Genomic DNA, 16,480 nt, shown 5'->3' with positions numbered 1-16,480 from the left:
GGGCCGTTCTCCTTGCCAAGCGTAGGATTTGGGAAGAGCCTAGGGCTCGCTGGAGACTGGACTGATTAAGTAGTTGTGGAGTTGGTGATTAAAAACTTCCTGCTCGTTCGACAGCTGGTTACCTCCGTCTTTGCCCCATCGTTTTCTGAAGATGATGCAGCAGTGGAGACCCTGCTGTCTAGAGAAGCCCAACACTAGACACTTGACACCTAGACAACCGCATTGAATAGGAAGAACTTACTTCCCCATTATTTATATTACTCATGCATTCAATCCCTGATAGGGTAGCTTTAAGATTTATTACAATTGTAAAGGTGTTGCTCTTCATCCCCGGATTGCAAAGATTGCGCGGGTGCTAGGAGATGTTCGGTTTTAGAGTATGAAAAGGAAATCTCCAGTCTCAAAACACTCCAGAACAACAAGTATTTTACATGTTGCAGTCATAAAGCGCTGGTCTCTCAGTGACTATAGAATGAGAAAAACATGGATAAGATATATACGAAATTATTTAGGAAATTTGAGTAACACTAAAACAAACTGAGAAATATATGTATGTATTCTCGAAAGTCTGGGTCTCACTATGTTGCCCAGGTGCGACTAGAATTCCTCCCACCTCAGCCTCCACCTCCGTTTCCCCTTCCCGAGTAGCTGGGACTACAGGTTTGTTTTTTGTTTGTTTTTGTAGCAGTAGTTAACAGAACCCTAGGTAAATTTTTAGAACTTGGAAATGGGGTTGGGGCGGGGAGACTCAGAAGAATACTGCACATCTCAGCAGTAATTCCCCTGTTTCATAGTTAACATTTGGTTATTAGGAGACTGTAGAAAGTGCCCTATTCTGATACGTTGTGTAATCCCCTAAGCCATTTTAAAAAACATGTTTGAGTCAAATAATATATGTAAATAGTTCAAATATGTATGTTCCTTACTTCATTAAACTTTTTTTTTGGTGGATGAATACAGGTGACTGGCGTAAATCTGGGAAACATCACTCTTAAGGCTCACTGTTTCCTTTTGGAACGCCTCATTGCAGTATTCTTTTGTTTGAATCATACAACCTTTGTGCAACCTGTACTTTTAAAAAATTGCTATTATGAACACTTTGATTCTGTTCTAATGAAATAAAACAGAAGGCGCAAAATAGAATTAGACAAATGATTTTAAAACTTAAAAACCGTGAATTCTTTTCTTCAATATAAATTTTTCTTGAAAGTTCATTGTTTTCTGATGGAAAAATTCTCTGGTACAAGTAGGCAGAGTTGCTCTGTCTGTTCTGTTCTAAACCTTTCCCTGCCTGGCTCCCGAGGCCCCAGCATTGGTTTAGTGGATCACAGTTTAGTCCTACAGTTGTAAAGGAGGCACTGCTGTTGAGATTAAAAAAACAAACAAACAAAAAAACTGTGTCTAGATTATTTTATGGCCAGTGCCATAAGCCAGAGCTTCAAGTAGTTACATATTAGCTTAAGCATGACTGAATTCAGAACCCCAAAGGCATTTTAAGGGTGAAAGAATGAATTTGAGGCCCTCCTGTAACTTCTGGACAAGAGAATGGAATTAGAAAAAGTAGAATGAAATACTAAAGAGCTCAAATTGGACTTGCACGTATATCATAGAAGAAAAATTATATATTACGTTTTTAATATCTTAAAACTTTTCATTTCAAATCGTTAATACAAAGCAAGGGTCAGGCGCAGCGGCTCACGCCTGTAATCCCAGCACTTTGGGAGGCCGAGGCGGGTAAATCACTGGAGGTCGGGAGTTTGAGACCAGCCTGACCAACATGGTGAAACCCCGTTTCTACCAAAATACAAAAAATTAGCCAGGCATGGTGGCGCGTGCCTGTAGTCCCTGCTACTGGGGAGGCTGAGGCAGGAGAATCACTTGAACCCGGGAGGCGGAGGTTGCAGTGAGCCAATATCTCGCCACTGCCCTCCAGCCTGGCGACAGAGCAAGACTCCGTCTCGAAAAAAAATATATATATATATGTATACATATATATATATATGTATATATATGTGTGTATATACGCCCACAGACACACACGCATACACAAAGCAAGTCATTATTTGACTTGAGATGTCTACAGGAAATGTTACTTTACATTGTCATTGTCTTTTTCACTTGTTCTCTTTGATTCAGTCAGATTTTTGTTACCCTTTTTTTTTTTTGGTCATTCCTTTGTTCACTCTTCATTCAGCAGGCATACATTGAATAATTACTGTGTGTCAAGCATTGTGTTAATCTATGGACACAAAATGAGTAAATAGACTGTGAGTTCCTGCCTTCAAGGAACTCTCAATCTAATGGAGGAAACAGAGAGACATAAGACCTGTAATTTAGTACGATAAGTATAGTGCTACAAATATACAAGAAGCTTTAATCCTCTTTTATTTAAAATAGTCATAGTCCCTGAAGAAAAGACAAGGACCTTCAGATAGGAGCTTTCTCTGTAAAGGTGTTGACACTATCCTCTCCTTCCCACCTTTTCTTTTTTCTTTTTCTTTTTTTTTTTTTTTGAGACGAATCTGTCTCTCAGGCTGGAATGAAGTGGCCTGATCTTGGCTTACTGCAACCCCGCCTCCCGGGTTCAAGTGATTTTCCTGCCTCAGCCTCCCGAGTAGCTAGGACTACAGGTGCGCACCACCACACCTGGCTAATTTTTTGTATTTTTAATAGAGATGGAGGTTTCACCATGTTGGCCAGGCTGGTCTTGAACTCCTGCCCTCAAGTGATCTGCCCGCCTCGGCCTCCCAAAGTGTTGAGATTACAGGCGTGAGCCACTGTGCCCAGCCTCCTCCCCCCCTTCTCTGATAGCACTTTCCCAACAGGAAGTAACCACCTTTTGCTAATGTATGATATGGTCATTTTATGATTAAAGGCCTTTAAAGATTAATCTCTTTTGGTAGGTGAAGAGTCTTGCAGGAGGGTGAGCAGTCTTTCTGACAGTCATATGAGGAAGGAATCCTTTTCTCAGGGGCTGAGAAAAGGATGGGTCAAGATGTCTTAGGAAGGCACTCATGAATTGATGATGATATGTGACTTGTCAAATGGAAGCAGGCCAAAGGCTAGGAAGTAGGGAACTCTGGCAAATTCCTGTCTTTTCTTGGCATCAGAACCTACAAGCCCTGAAGGATATACTAGATTTGGTAGTGTTAGAACTCTTTAAACATTTTATCTAGATTCATTTTTTTGTTTTGTTTAATAAGATTTCTTTGATGTGTTCTGAGGGGAAAAAAGAAAATATCCTTAGGTCCCACCTCTTCTCCCCAGCTGGGCCTCAAGTGTTAGAGGGGTACAGGGATCTTGAGGTAGAGCCTGGTTGGAGTAGCCATTCTTGTAGAATTCCAAGGGGAAAGTGAAACATGGGGGACGGGGCCACAGTGGTTAGTGTTAACAGAGAAGATGTCATTTCCTTATTCATTGATTTCCAAGTCATGACTTGTCTGTTCTAAGCCTTAACTCCGGTTCTTGTTTGCATATCTTTTTTCCCTTTACTCAAGCCAGGCAATCTTTCTTGCCAGTTTTCTGCCTCTGTGCTATTTACCATTCATTGCTAAATGTTTGCTCTTTTCAACCTTGGTATTTCCTTTAAAGATACGCTTGTGTCCCACAAAGCTGAGCTCAAATTCTACCTCTACAAAACTCTGTGGACGCAGTGGTTTGAATTGTTAGCTTTTAAGAGAATACATTTCCAAGTGACATTTTAATGTGTGTATTGCTGTGTTTCTGACTTTTGCTGTGTTAGAAGAAGTTGACCAGGAAGTAGCTTGGGACTTTCTCCAGTGAAATGCAGTCATGCAGTCCTTTTCTCCAGTGAAATTTTATAAGAAATCCCAATATAAAAATAGATATTGATAGCATAAGAATAATATAAATTCATAACATACACACAAATTTATAACATTTACTTAACTAGGCCACTCTTTGTACAATAAGTTAAAATCTTTGTAAAAGTAAAAATTTTTTTAAAAAGTTTTTTGGTTTTGAATAAGAATAGTAGACTTAACAGCCAGTTTTTTTTCTAATATATTTTGTAGCTTTTTAAACTATGAAATATTTTCAGCATAAAATAGAAAATATGAACTCCCATTCCTGCCAGGCAATTATGTCAAGTGCTAATATTTTGATATACTTGATTCTTTTTTTTTAAGAAAGGAACATTCAAGATGCAGTGAAATACTTTAGTATTTTTAGCAGCTACCTGATCCCATTCTTCCTCCTTTCTCCGAGTTAAACACTCTATAAATAGATAGAAATTCTCTTTAATAGTATAATACTACACTTACAAATATACTATATATTGTTTGGATGTTTTTAAACTTCTTAAAAATGGTGTCTTTTTGTCATTCTGCAACTTTTGTCATCCAGCATTTCTTCTTTTTTGAGACGGAGTCTTGCTCTGTCGCCCAGGCTGGAGTGCAGTGGTGTAATCTCAGCTCACTGCAACCTCTGCTTCCCAGGTTCAAGCAATTCTTGTGCCTCAGCCTCCCGAGTAGCTGGGGTTACAGGTGCGCACCACCATGCTCGGCTAATTTTGCATTTTTTAGCAGAGATGGGATTTCGCCATGTTGGCCATGCCAGTTTCGAACTCCTGACCTTAGGTGATCTGCCTGCCTTGGCCTCCCAAAGTGCTGGGATTACAGGCGTGAGCCACCGTGCCTGGCCCATTCAGCATTTCTTCGTGAGAGTTATTCATGTTGATGTTTGTAGCTCTAGGTTATAAATTTTAATGGCTGCGTGATACTATACTACTATATGAATATGCATTATCTGTTGTCCTATTGACGAACATGACTTTGTTTTCAATTTCTTGCACCTACAGACAGCTCTGTATTGAAAGTTTTTATCTATGTTTTCTTGTGTTTATGGGTGCAAGATTCTTTTTTTTTTTTTTTTGAGACGGAGTCTTGCCCTGTCACCCAGGCTGGAGTGCAGTGGCGCGATCTCAGCTCGCTGCAACCTCCATCTCCCAGGTTCAAATGATTTTCCTGCCTCAGCCTCCCAAGTAGCTGGGATTACAGACGCCTGCTACCATGCCCAGGTAATTTTTTTTTGTATTTTTAGTAGAGACGGGGTTTCACATGTTGGCCAGGCTGGTCTCGAACTCCTGACCTCGTGATCCGCCCGTCTTGGCCTCCCAAAGTGCTGGGATTACAGATATGAGCCACTGTGCCCAGTGGAGTGCAAAATTCTTAAAGGTTGTCGTCTTGAAGGGGAATTCTTCAGTAGAAGTGTAGCTCTTGGCCTGGTGTGGTGGCTCATGCCTGTAATCCCAGCACTTTGGGAGGCTGAGGTGGACAAATCTTCTGAGGTCAGGAGTTTGAGACCAGCCTGGCCAACATGATGAAACGTGTCTCTACTGAAAATACAAAACTTAGCTGAGTGTGGTGGTGAATGCCTGTCATCTCAGCTACTCGGGAGGCTGAGGTAGAAGAATCACTTGAACCTGGGAGGCGGAGATTGTGCCACTGCACTCCAGCTGGGGCAACAGAGTGAGACTCCATCTCAAAAAAAAAAAAAAAGTGTAGCTCTTGCAAAGTTGCCCTTCCAAGTGTTTGTTGATTTCCCTCCTGTCAGCAGTGAAATTCCTGTTGTTCCACATCCTCACTAATGCTGAGCATTGTCAGATTTTCTAATTTATGCCTATCTGATGAATATGAAGTAAGACATTGTTTTCATTTCATTTTCTATTTCTACTTCATTGCCAGTGAAGATGAGCATTTTTTCATATGTTTCTTCATCATTCTGTTTTCTTTTTCTATAAATTGCCTGCTCATTACTTTTATTATTCTGTTGGGTTACTTTTTAAAAATTGATGGCAGGGTGCAGTGACTCACACCTGCAATCCAAACACTTGGTGGATTGCTTGATCTCAGGAGTTCGAGATCAGTCAGGGCAACATGATGAAACCCCATCTCTACAAAAAATACAAAAATTAGCTGAGCATGGTGGCGCGCACCTGTAGTCCGAGCTACTCGGGAGATGGAGGTGGGAGGATGGCTTGAGCTAGGGAGGTTGAGGCTGCAGTGAGCCATGATTGCATCACTGCACTCCAGCCTGGGTGACAGAGCCAGATCCTGTCTCCCGAACAAAACAAAAAAACGAAACCAAAAACCAACACCAAAAAATAAAACAAAATTGATTTTTAGAGTTCCAGATACATTTCTTACTAATCTTTAGTTGGGTATGTATGTTACAAATCTGTATTCTAGTTCTGTTTGTTTCTGCTGTCTTTTATTGTAAAGAAAATGTGGGTTTTCACTTAGTGATATTTGTCATTCTCCCTTAATTTTATTTTTCTTAAGAAAGGCTTCAGGGCTGAGTGTGGTGGCTCACACCTGTAGTAAAGAAAAGAAACCCTTCTCCACCCTGAGGTTATACAGATATTTTCATATTTTCTTCTGCAAGTTTTACTAAACTTTTGATTTTCACATTTAGGTCTTTGATCCACCAGGAATTAATTTTTGTATAAGGTCTGCGGAGGAATTGAATTGGATAACCAGTTGACAATAGACAATAATCAATTGTCTAATCACTGTGGATTGAATTGTCTGTTTTTTCCCCACTGTTTTATAATTGTCTTAGCTATTTTGGGCATTTCAAATGGATTATATGACAGATTGGTTAAAATCATTATACAAGGGAATTTCTTGTAGGTTTTTAGGATGTAAGAGAAAAGACATTATAATTTTATTTTTGTTTCACATCAGCTGATATTGATGGTTTAAAATATATTTTTATTCCTTAATAACATTTAATGATAAGCTTATGTATAATTTGTAAGTAAGTCAAGAAGAGAATGATTTTCTGCCAGTGAATATACAACATAATACTATAGCAGTGTAGTTAGGTGGATGTGTCTCTAGCATGGCTTTTGTTTAAATAAAGGACCTCAGAGGTGTTGCGTGTAATAGGCCTTGTGGCTGGGCGCGGTGGCTCATGCCTATAATCCCAGCACTTTGGGAGGTCGAGGTGGGCGGATTACAAGGTCAGGAGTTCGAGACCAGCCTGACCAACATGGTGACACCCCATCTTTACTAAAAATACAAAAATTAGCCGGACATGTGGTGCATGCCTGTAGTCCCAGCTACTCGGGAGGCTGAGGCAGGAGAATCACTTGAACCCGGGAGGCAGAGGTTGCAGTGAGCCAAGATCGCGCCACTGCACTCCAGCCCGGACGACAGAGCGAGACTCCATCTCAAAAGAAAAAAAAAATAGGCCTTGTATATAAGTATGTAGGGTAGGATATCAAACTCTGGTTACTTGACAAGTGATGGTTCTAACCACCTATTACCCAGGTATCAAAATGAAACTTAAGGATATATCATTTCTTTATCTCTTGTTATTTTTTTCCTCCTTGGTTGTCTATTGTCCTTTAATCTGACCACTTTTCTTCTCCCCCTTCCTTGATTTTTCATTTTGTCTTAAGTTAAAAAGCTTTTATTTTATTTTATTTTTTCTTCTTTTTTGAGACACAGCCTCACTCAGTCGCCCAGGCTGAAGTGCAGTGGTACAATCTCAGCTCACTGCAGCCTCTGTCTCCTGGGTTCAAGCAATTCTCCTACCTCAGCCTCCTGAGTAGCTGGGATTACAGGCACCCACCACCATGCCTGGCTAATTTTTAATTATTTATTTATTTATTTTTTTCTAGAAATGAGGTTTCACCATGTTGTCCAGGCTGGTCTTGGACTCCTGACCTCAAGTGATTCACCTGCCTCGGCCTCCCAAAGTGCTGGGATTATAGGAGTGAGCCACCATGCCTGGCCTAAGTTACAAAGTCTTTAAAAGTGTTTTTGCTTACAGTCTTTTTCCTGTTATAAAAATATCAGCTAATTGGCAATATTTGTCCAACACCATGGGTGAGAAGGATATTAGTTCCTGAGGCATTTTGGTATTGTTGAAACATTCTTTTCCCTCATCCTTTGTTTTTTAGGATTAAGTTTCACATTGACTTATTGGCATCTGCTATCTTTTTTGGTGTAGTAAGTGTTGCTCCCAGCTTTTAGACTTCCTTTAGCGTTATTTTCTTAATGGGTCTGTGGCTGCTATGCTTAAAGGACAAGCACCTCTCTGTCCCTATAGCACCTTGTGGAACATTTACAGTTCTTCACCATGGAGACCTGTTATGGCGATCTCTGTTGCATTCAGGGAGGCCTTTCTTTAGTTTCCTCCAGTTAAGAAATGTTGAAAATGAAGTGTCTTGTGAAGTAGTTCCAGTTCTTACTGACTTTTAATGCAAGCTCAGAACTGTGTTTAATCTCATATTTAAAAAAAGCATGAAGGGAAATGATGAAGGATTTAAAAAATTTTATTATGTACAGTCTCCCTCATATTTAGTGTAATTTTTAAATGATAGCAGTTGGATGAAAAATCTGTTATTCAGTGAAATTGTTATTGTATCTGAAAACTCGCAAACTATTTTCTTGGTCGGTAAACGTACCCTTAGTAAGCACTTGCTTATTTTCATTTGCAATATGAGAATTGTAGTGACTCAGAATTTTACTTCTCATTTGTACTAAAAGTTTTTTTTATTCTTATCTGGAGCAGCAGCTTTTACTTTCATTTGTCATGGGATGAATTATCTTAACCTTCTCTTCTAAAAAAAGATCTGCTTAAAGAAATCTAGCATGTGCAGTGTTTTGGTTTGTCCCCAGCAGTACTAAGTCCTTGAGGTGGAGGGTTGAAGGGGAAGAACTTTTTTTTTTTCAAACATTAATACCTTATTAGGTTCTCTTAAGTTACCTGATAATGAATAAACCTTTATATTTAATGGAGAGATTGAACCTAAGAAGGTCATTGTGGCAGATATCTGGGAATGGCCATTGTCCCCTGAAAATTATTGACATTCTGAAGTGGCCACCTGCTTATAGGTGTTAAGAATAGGCTGTGTATATATGTATGTAGGGTAGGATATCAAACTCTGGTTACTTGACAACTATCAGTTCTAACCATCTATCACCCAGATATCAAAATAAAACTTAAGGATATATCATTTCTTTATCTCTTGTTATTTTTTTCCTCCTTGGTTGTTTTTTGTCTCTGAATCTGACCACTCCTCTTCTTCCCCTGCCTTGATTTTTCATTTTGTCATATTACTCCAGTTTTATGTCAGAAATTTGTCACTACATGATGATGTAGTCTTAAAATTTTTAGCTATTCTAGTGGGTATGTCATTGTGGGCTTTGTCGTTGTTGTTGTTGTTTTTGAGACAGAGCCTTGCTCTGCCCCCCAGCCTGGAATGCAGTGGCGTGATCTGGGCTCACTGCACCCTCCACCTCCCAGGTTCAATCTGGGACTACAGATGTGCACCACCATGCCTGGCTAGTTTTTGTATTTTCAGTAGAGACAGAGTTTCGCTGTGTTGGCCAGGCTGGTCTGCAACTCCTGGCCTTATGTAATCCGCCCGCCTTGACCTCCCGCAGTGCTGGAGTTACAGGCATAAGCCACTGTGCCCGGCCTTCATTGTAGTTTTAATGTGCATTTACTTGATAACTCTTGATTTTGGGCACGTTTAAATATATTTATTTGCTAAATGAATGTTCTCTTTTTCAAAGTACTACTTGTTTAAATATTTTGTCCATTTTTCTTTTCACTTAATTTTCACAACTCTTTTAAGCACGGCAGCTATTTTAATCTCCATTTGACAAATGAGAACATGGATTTGGGTTTGAGTCAGAATGGAGGTGAACTACTCCAAAGCTTATAAGCTAGTAAGAAAGCTTCAGAGATGGATGTAGGCAAGGCAGGTCCTCGTTGTTTTATTGGTGATGTGTATCCCGCGCCACCCCCCTGAAGCCTGACAGTACTCCACAGGTGCATACGGAGTGTGCATAATGGTTTTCTCAGTCTGCAGAGGTAATGTAATCATCTGCCTGGCCTGTTTGCTTTTGATTCTCTATCTGTAACTTTTTGGCATGTTAGTGGCTGCCTTGGAGACTTTTTTTTTTTGAGACAGAGTCTCGTTCTGTTGCCCAGGCTGGAGTGCAGTGGCGCTATCTCGGCTCACTGCAACCTCTGCCTCCTGGGTTCAAGCAATTCTCCTGCCACAGCCTCCTGAGGAGTTGGGACTACAGGTGCATGCCACCATGCCCAGATAATTTTTTGTATTTTTTTTTTTAATAGAGACGAGGTTTCGCTGTGTTAGCCAGGCTCGTCTTGATCTCCTGACCTCATGATCTGCCCGCCTCGGCCTCCCAAAGTGCTGGGATTGCAGGCATGAGCCACCGCGCCCGACCGACTCATTTTTCCTTTATCCCAGCCACTAGAAAATGTCTAGCACATTATGCTTCCTAATAGGCCTATTACAATGGAAATTATAACATGTATGCTTCTGCCCTGTCTCCTGAGTAAGGGTGTGTGTAAATGAGTGTGCTCGTTTTGTGGAGTTAGGGGGACGTGGTTCTCACCTAACAGGATTACAGAGGGTATTTTGGAAATATCAGCCAAGAAGAAAGTGAACTTGTAGGAAAATAAAGGCTGGCCCCAGGATTTTTGCCTTTTTAATAGATGGTTTAAAATATTAAAGGACAGTAAAAGGTAATTTTTATGTGTTTTTCCCCCTTCTTTTCGTCCTGGCTCCCCTTATGCTCAATTCTCTCAACTCCTCCTAGTCGCCCCAGAAATGTTGGTGGTGACATGAGAAATGAATAGAATGGCAATGACTGATCTGTATTCCATCAGAGGAAGCAGCTCTTAAATATATTGTATTATTATATGGTTTAGTAAATGGAGTTAATCAGCTGGGCGCAGTGGCTCACGCTTTTAATCCCAGCAGTTTGGGAGGCCAAGGTGGGCAGATCACCTGAGGTCGGGAATTTGAGACCAGCCTGACCAACATGGAAAAACCCTGTCCCTACTAAAAATACAAAATTAGCCCGGCGTGGTGGCGCATGCCTGTAATCCCGGCTACTCAAGAGGCTGAGGCAGGAGAGTCGTTTGAACTCGGGAGGCAGAGGTTTGCATTGAGCCAAGATCGTGCCATTGCACTCCAGCCTGGGCAACAAGAGTGAAACTGCATCTCAAAAAAAAAAAAAAAAAGTTAATCATGGCATTCTGCCTGATTCTTTGCTTGTAAACGAGAGTTGAATTTGCATGTTTCCTATTCAGTGTGTTTAAGATATGTATTATCGGGGAACCCACCTCCAATATTTCAACATAGGTTCTATTTTTCCTAAGTGTCGGCCAGTCTGAGAAATAGAGAGAAAGAGTACAAAGAGAAGAATTTTACAGCTGGGCCACCAGGTCATTACGGGCCGTAGGTCCGTAATGCCCCACCAGAGCTGCAAAATCAGCAAGTTTTTATTAAGGATTTCAAAAGGGGAGGGGGTGTACGAACAGGGAGTAGGTCATAAAGATCACATGCTTCTGAGGCCAATAAAGATCACAAGGCAAAGGGCAGAATTAGAATTACTGATGAGGGTCTGTGTTCAGCTGTGCACATATTGTCTTGATAAACATCTTAACAGAAAACAGAGTTCAAGAGCAGAGAACCAGTCTGACCAAAATTTACCAGGCTGGAGTTTCCCAATCCTAGTAAGCCTGAGGGTACTGCAGGAGACCAGGGCGTATTTCAGTCCTTATCTCAACCGCATAAGACACACACTCCCAGAGCGGCCGTTTATAGACCTCTTCCCAGGAATGCAATTCTTTTCCTAGGGTCTTAATATTTAGTATTCCTTGCTAGAAGAAGAATTTAGCAATATCTCTCCTACTTGCACATCTGTTTATAGACTCTCTGCAAGAAGAAAAATATGGCTCTTTTTGCCCTACCCCGCAGGCAGTCAGACCTTATGGTTATCTTCTCTTGTTCCCTAAAATCACTGTTATTCTGTTCTTTTTTAAGGTGCACCAATTTCATATTGTTCAAACACACGTGTTTTACAATCAGATTTATTATTCAAACACACGTCTTTTACAATCAATTTGTACAGTTAATGCAATCATCACAGGGTCTTGAGTTGACATACATTCTCAGCTTACGAAGATAACAGGATTAAGAAATTAAAGACAGGCATAAGAAATTATAAGAGTATTATTTGGGAACTGATAAATGTCCATGAAATCTTCATAATTTATGTTCAGAGATTGCAGTAAAGACAGTCATAAGAAATGATAAAAGTATTAATTTTGGGAGCTGATAAATATCCATGAAATCTTCACAATTTATGTTCCTCTGCTACGGCTCCAGCCAGTCCCTCCATTCGTTCTGGGTCCCTGACTTCTTGCAACAATGTATATACATAGGGAAACAGAAAAACTATGTTAATTTGGCAATTTTGAACAAAAATTCCTCTCAAGAGGCAGTTTAATATAGTGATTTGAACCTGGAGCACACACCCTGAGCCAGATGGCACAAATTGAAATCTATTTTATTGCTTACTAGCTGTATAACCTTGTGCTAGTTATTTAATAATTTTCTGGACCAGGCACAGTGGCTCATGCCTGTAATCCCAGCACTTTGGGAGGCTGAGGCGGGCAGATCACCTGAGGTCAGGAGGAGTTCGAAACCAGTGTGACCAACATGGTGAAACCTTGTCTCTACTAAAAATACAAAAATTAAAAAAAAAAAAAATTACCCAGGCATGGTGGCGTGCGCCTATATCCCAGCTACTTGGGATGCTGAGGCGGGAGAATCACTTGAACCAGGGAGGCGTAGGTTGCAGTGAGCCAAGATCGCGCCACTATACTCCAACCTGGGCAACAGAGTGAGACTGTATCTCAAATTATAATAATAAGAATAATTTTCTGTGTCTCAGCTTCCCCATTTATATAGTTTTTATTTTTATTTATTTATTTTATATGCAAAGTTGTAAAATAACCCAGCCCAGGCTGGAGTACAGTGGCACAATCATAGCTCACTGTAACCTCAAACTCCTGGGCTCATGTATTCTCCTGCCTCAGCCTTCTGAGTACCTAGAACTACAGGTGCGCATCACCGTACCAGACTACTATTTCAATTTTTTTTTTTAAGAGGTGAGGGATCTCACTATGTTGCCCAGGCTGGTCTTGAACTCCTGGACTCTCAAGTGATCCTCCTGCCTTGGCCTCCCAAAGTGCTAGGATTACAGCTGTGAGCCACCGGGCCCAGTCCCCACTTATGGGGATCCTTCATTTGATTGAGGAGCAAGTGATTTAGCTTATGTAAAATGCTCAGGAGTTATTGCTTAATTGCTATTATTGTTTTTAATTAAATTGCTATCTGTCATTCAGTACTCAGAGCTGTAAGTAGGTTTTCATTTTAGAAGGCATGCAGATTGGGCTGGGCACAGTGGTTCACACCTGTAATCCCAGCACTTTGGGAGGCCAAGATGAGTGGATCACCTGAGATCAGGAGTTCTACCCCCAGCCTGGCCAACATGGTGAAACCCCATCTCTACTAAGAATACAGAATTAACCGGGTGTGGTGGCACATGCCTGTAATCCCAGCAACTCCAGAGGCTGAGGCAGGAAAATCGTTTGAACCCAGGAGGCAGAGGTTGCAGTGAGCCAAGATCGTGCCATTTCACTCCAGCCTGGGCAGCTAAGAGTGAAACTCCATCTCAAAAAAAAAAGAAAAAAAAATGGTATGCAGAATGTATTTTTAAGAACTATGTGTATTGCTGCTTTCCCCAGGGTAAAGATTTGCATCGATAAACATTAACCCAAACAGAACATTAAATGGGGTGGAAAATTAAGTGAGAAAATTTATGGTAAACCTAAGTTTAACTATAAAATGCTAAATAGAGTCATTGTCATTTAAGGGAGAGAAGGAGTAGAATTATTTACAGTCTATCAGGTTGAGGTATTGGGCATTTAAATATTTTAATCTAAATTTCACTACACAAGAATTGTGTAGTCTAGAAACCTAGTAAGTATATATAATGTTTTTTTTTTTTTTTTTTTTTTATTGATCATTCTTGGGTGTTTCTCGCAGAGGGGGATTTGGCAGGGTCACAGGACAATAGTGGAGGGAAGGTCAGCAGATAAACAAGTGAACAAAGGTCTCTGGTTTTCCTAGGCAGAGGACCCTGCAGCCTTCCGCAGTGTTTGTGTCCCTGGGTACTTGAGATTAGGGAGTGGTGATGACTCTTAACGAGCATGCTGCCTTCAAGCATCTGTTTAACAAAGCACATCTTGCACCGCCCTTAATCCATTCAACCCTGAGTGGACACAGCACATGTTTCAGAGAGCACAGGGTTGGGGGTAAGGTCACAGATCAACAGGATCCCAAGGCAGAAGAATTTTTCTTAGTACAGAACAAAATGTAAAGTCTCCCATGTCTACCTCTTTCTACACAGACACGGCAACCATCCGATTTCTCAATCTTTTCCCCACCTTTCCCCCCCTTCTATTCCACAAAACCGCCACCGTCATCATGGCCCACTCTCAATGAGCTGTTGGGTACACCTCCCAGACGGGGTGGTGGCCGGGCAGAGGGGCTCCTCACTTCCCAGTAGGGGCGGCTGGGCAGAGGCGCCCCTCACCTCCCGGATGGGGCGGCTGGCCAGGCGGGGGGCTGACCCCCCCACCTCCCTCCCGGACGGGGCGGCTGGCCGGGTGGGGGGCTGACCCCCCCACCACCTTCCCGGACGGGGCGGCTGGCCGGGCAGAGGGGCTCCTCACTTCCCGGTAGGGGCGGCCGGGCAGAGGCACCCCTCACCTCCCGGATGGGGCAGCTGGCCAGGCGGGGGGCTGACCCCCCCACCTCCCTCCCGGACGGGGTGGCTGGCCGGGCGGGGGGCTGACCCCCACCGCCCTCCCGGACGGGGCGGCTGGCCTGGGTGGGGCTGACCCCCCACCTCCCTCCTGGACGGAGCGGCTGGCCTGGCGGGGGCTGACCCCCACCTCCCTCCCGGACGCGGTGGCTGCCGGGCGGAGGGGCTCCTCACTTCTCAGACGGGGCGGCTGCCGGGCGGAGGGGCTCCTCACTTCTCAGACGGGGCGGTTGCCAGGCAGAGGGTCTCCTCACTTCTGAGATGGGGCGGCCGGGCAGAGACGCTCCTCACATCCCAGACGGGGTGGCAGGGCAGAGGCGCTCCCCACATCTCAGACGATGGGCGGCCAGGCAGAGACGCTCCTCACTTCCTAGATGGGATGGCGGCCGGGAAGAGGCGCTCCTCACTTCCTAGATGGGATGGCGGCCGGGCAGAGACGCTCCTCACTTTCCAGACTGGGCAGCCAGGCGGAGGGGCTCCTCACATCCCAGATGATGGGCGGCCAGGCAGAGACGCTCCTCACTTCCCCGACGGGGTGGCGGCCGGGCAGAGGCTGCAATCTTGGCACTTTGGGAGGCCAAGGCAGGCGGCTGGGAGGTGGAGGTTGTAGCCAGCCGAGATCACGCCACTGCACTCCAGCCTGGGCACCATTGAGCACTGAGTGAAGGAGCCTCCGTCTGCAATCCTGGCACCTCGGGAGGCCGAGGCTGGCAGATCACTCGCGGTTAGGAGCTGGAGACCAGCCCGGCCAACACAGCGAAACCCCGTCTCCACCAAAAAAATAGGAAAACCAGTCAGGCGTGGCGGCGCGCGCCTGCAATCGCAGGCACTGGGCAGGCTGAGGCAGGAGAATGAGGCAGGGAGGTTGCAGTGAGCAGAGATGGCGGCAGTACAGTCCAGCTTTGGCTCGTCATCAGAGGGAGACCGTGGAAAGAGAGGGAGAGGGAGACTGTGGGGAGAGGGAGAGGGAGAGGGAGCAATCCTGTTCTTTTAAAAACGAGGAAAACTTTCAATAACCATACTTTTCCAATGGGAAAAATATGCCCCCAGTGGGTGAGCTCTCCATGCGGGAGGACTCAGAAGTGATCACTCATGAGGGACGCTCAGGAGATGATAGAGGATTAGGCTCTATATAATGATTTTAATAGTCTAAATATATACAATTTATTCATAGACTAGAAAAAAAGTGGCTTTTCTACATTTTTGAAGAATTTAGTTTTTTAATGAATTAGTCCAAAGAAAGAATGTTTCTATCTTTAGTAAAAGCTATCATTGTGGTTTCCTGCAATGTATGCAAATTAATTCTACTCATTTACTTGTTTTTCATTTTCTGGTTTTTTTCTTTTTCCTTTTTCTTTTCTTTTTTTGTTTTAGAGACAAGTGTTTCACCCTGTCACCCAGGGTGTGGGTGGAGTGTAGTGGCTTGATCATAGCTTACTGCAGCTTTAAACTCCTGGGCACAAGGAATCCTCCCACCCCAGCCTCTCAAGTAGTGGGGACTACAGGTGTGCACCACCATGGTGCCCAGCTTCTTGTTTCTGCTTTAGAAAAAAAATTATATATATCTGTGTGTGTATATATATATATATATGGTTTTTTTTTGGCTAGCTTTTCTTGGTTCTTATACTGCAATTTTAAGGTGTAGAAGCAATTGAGGTTTTTTTTCCTCCTATTAATAGATAAAAGGCAATTTTTTTTCCTAAGATTGCTATGGTCAGAATGTATCCCCCAAAATTTACGAGTTGGAGACAGTCCCCAATGCAACAGTATTGGGGGATGGGGACTTTTGG

General features: G+C 42.9%; 1 protein-coding gene across 1 annotated transcript in view, besides 1 other annotated feature; it reads left to right on the top strand.

Moving 5' to 3' along the window:
* Nucleotides 1–16,480, top strand: part of STAM2 (signal transducing adaptor molecule 2) — a 58,963-nt gene that overhangs the window by 388 nt on the left and 42,095 nt on the right. The gene's annotated exons all lie outside the window — the stretch shown is intronic.
* Nucleotides 26–75: an enhancer, noted in NCBI's record as "active region_16645". NCBI's record gives its function as "activates an Ori minimal core promoter by ATAC-STARR-seq in GM12878 lymphoblastoid cells {active_cell/tissue: GM12878}" and the evidence as "EXISTENCE:reporter gene assay evidence [ECO:0000049][PMID:35858748]".

Source organism: Homo sapiens, chromosome 2 (assembly GCF_000001405.40).
Source record: "Homo sapiens chromosome 2, GRCh38.p14 Primary Assembly".
Lineage (NCBI taxonomy): Eukaryota > Metazoa > Chordata > Mammalia > Primates > Hominidae > Homo > Homo sapiens.
Note: the sequence above shows the minus strand (reverse complement) of the source record. Positions and strands in the feature narration are given on the sequence as shown.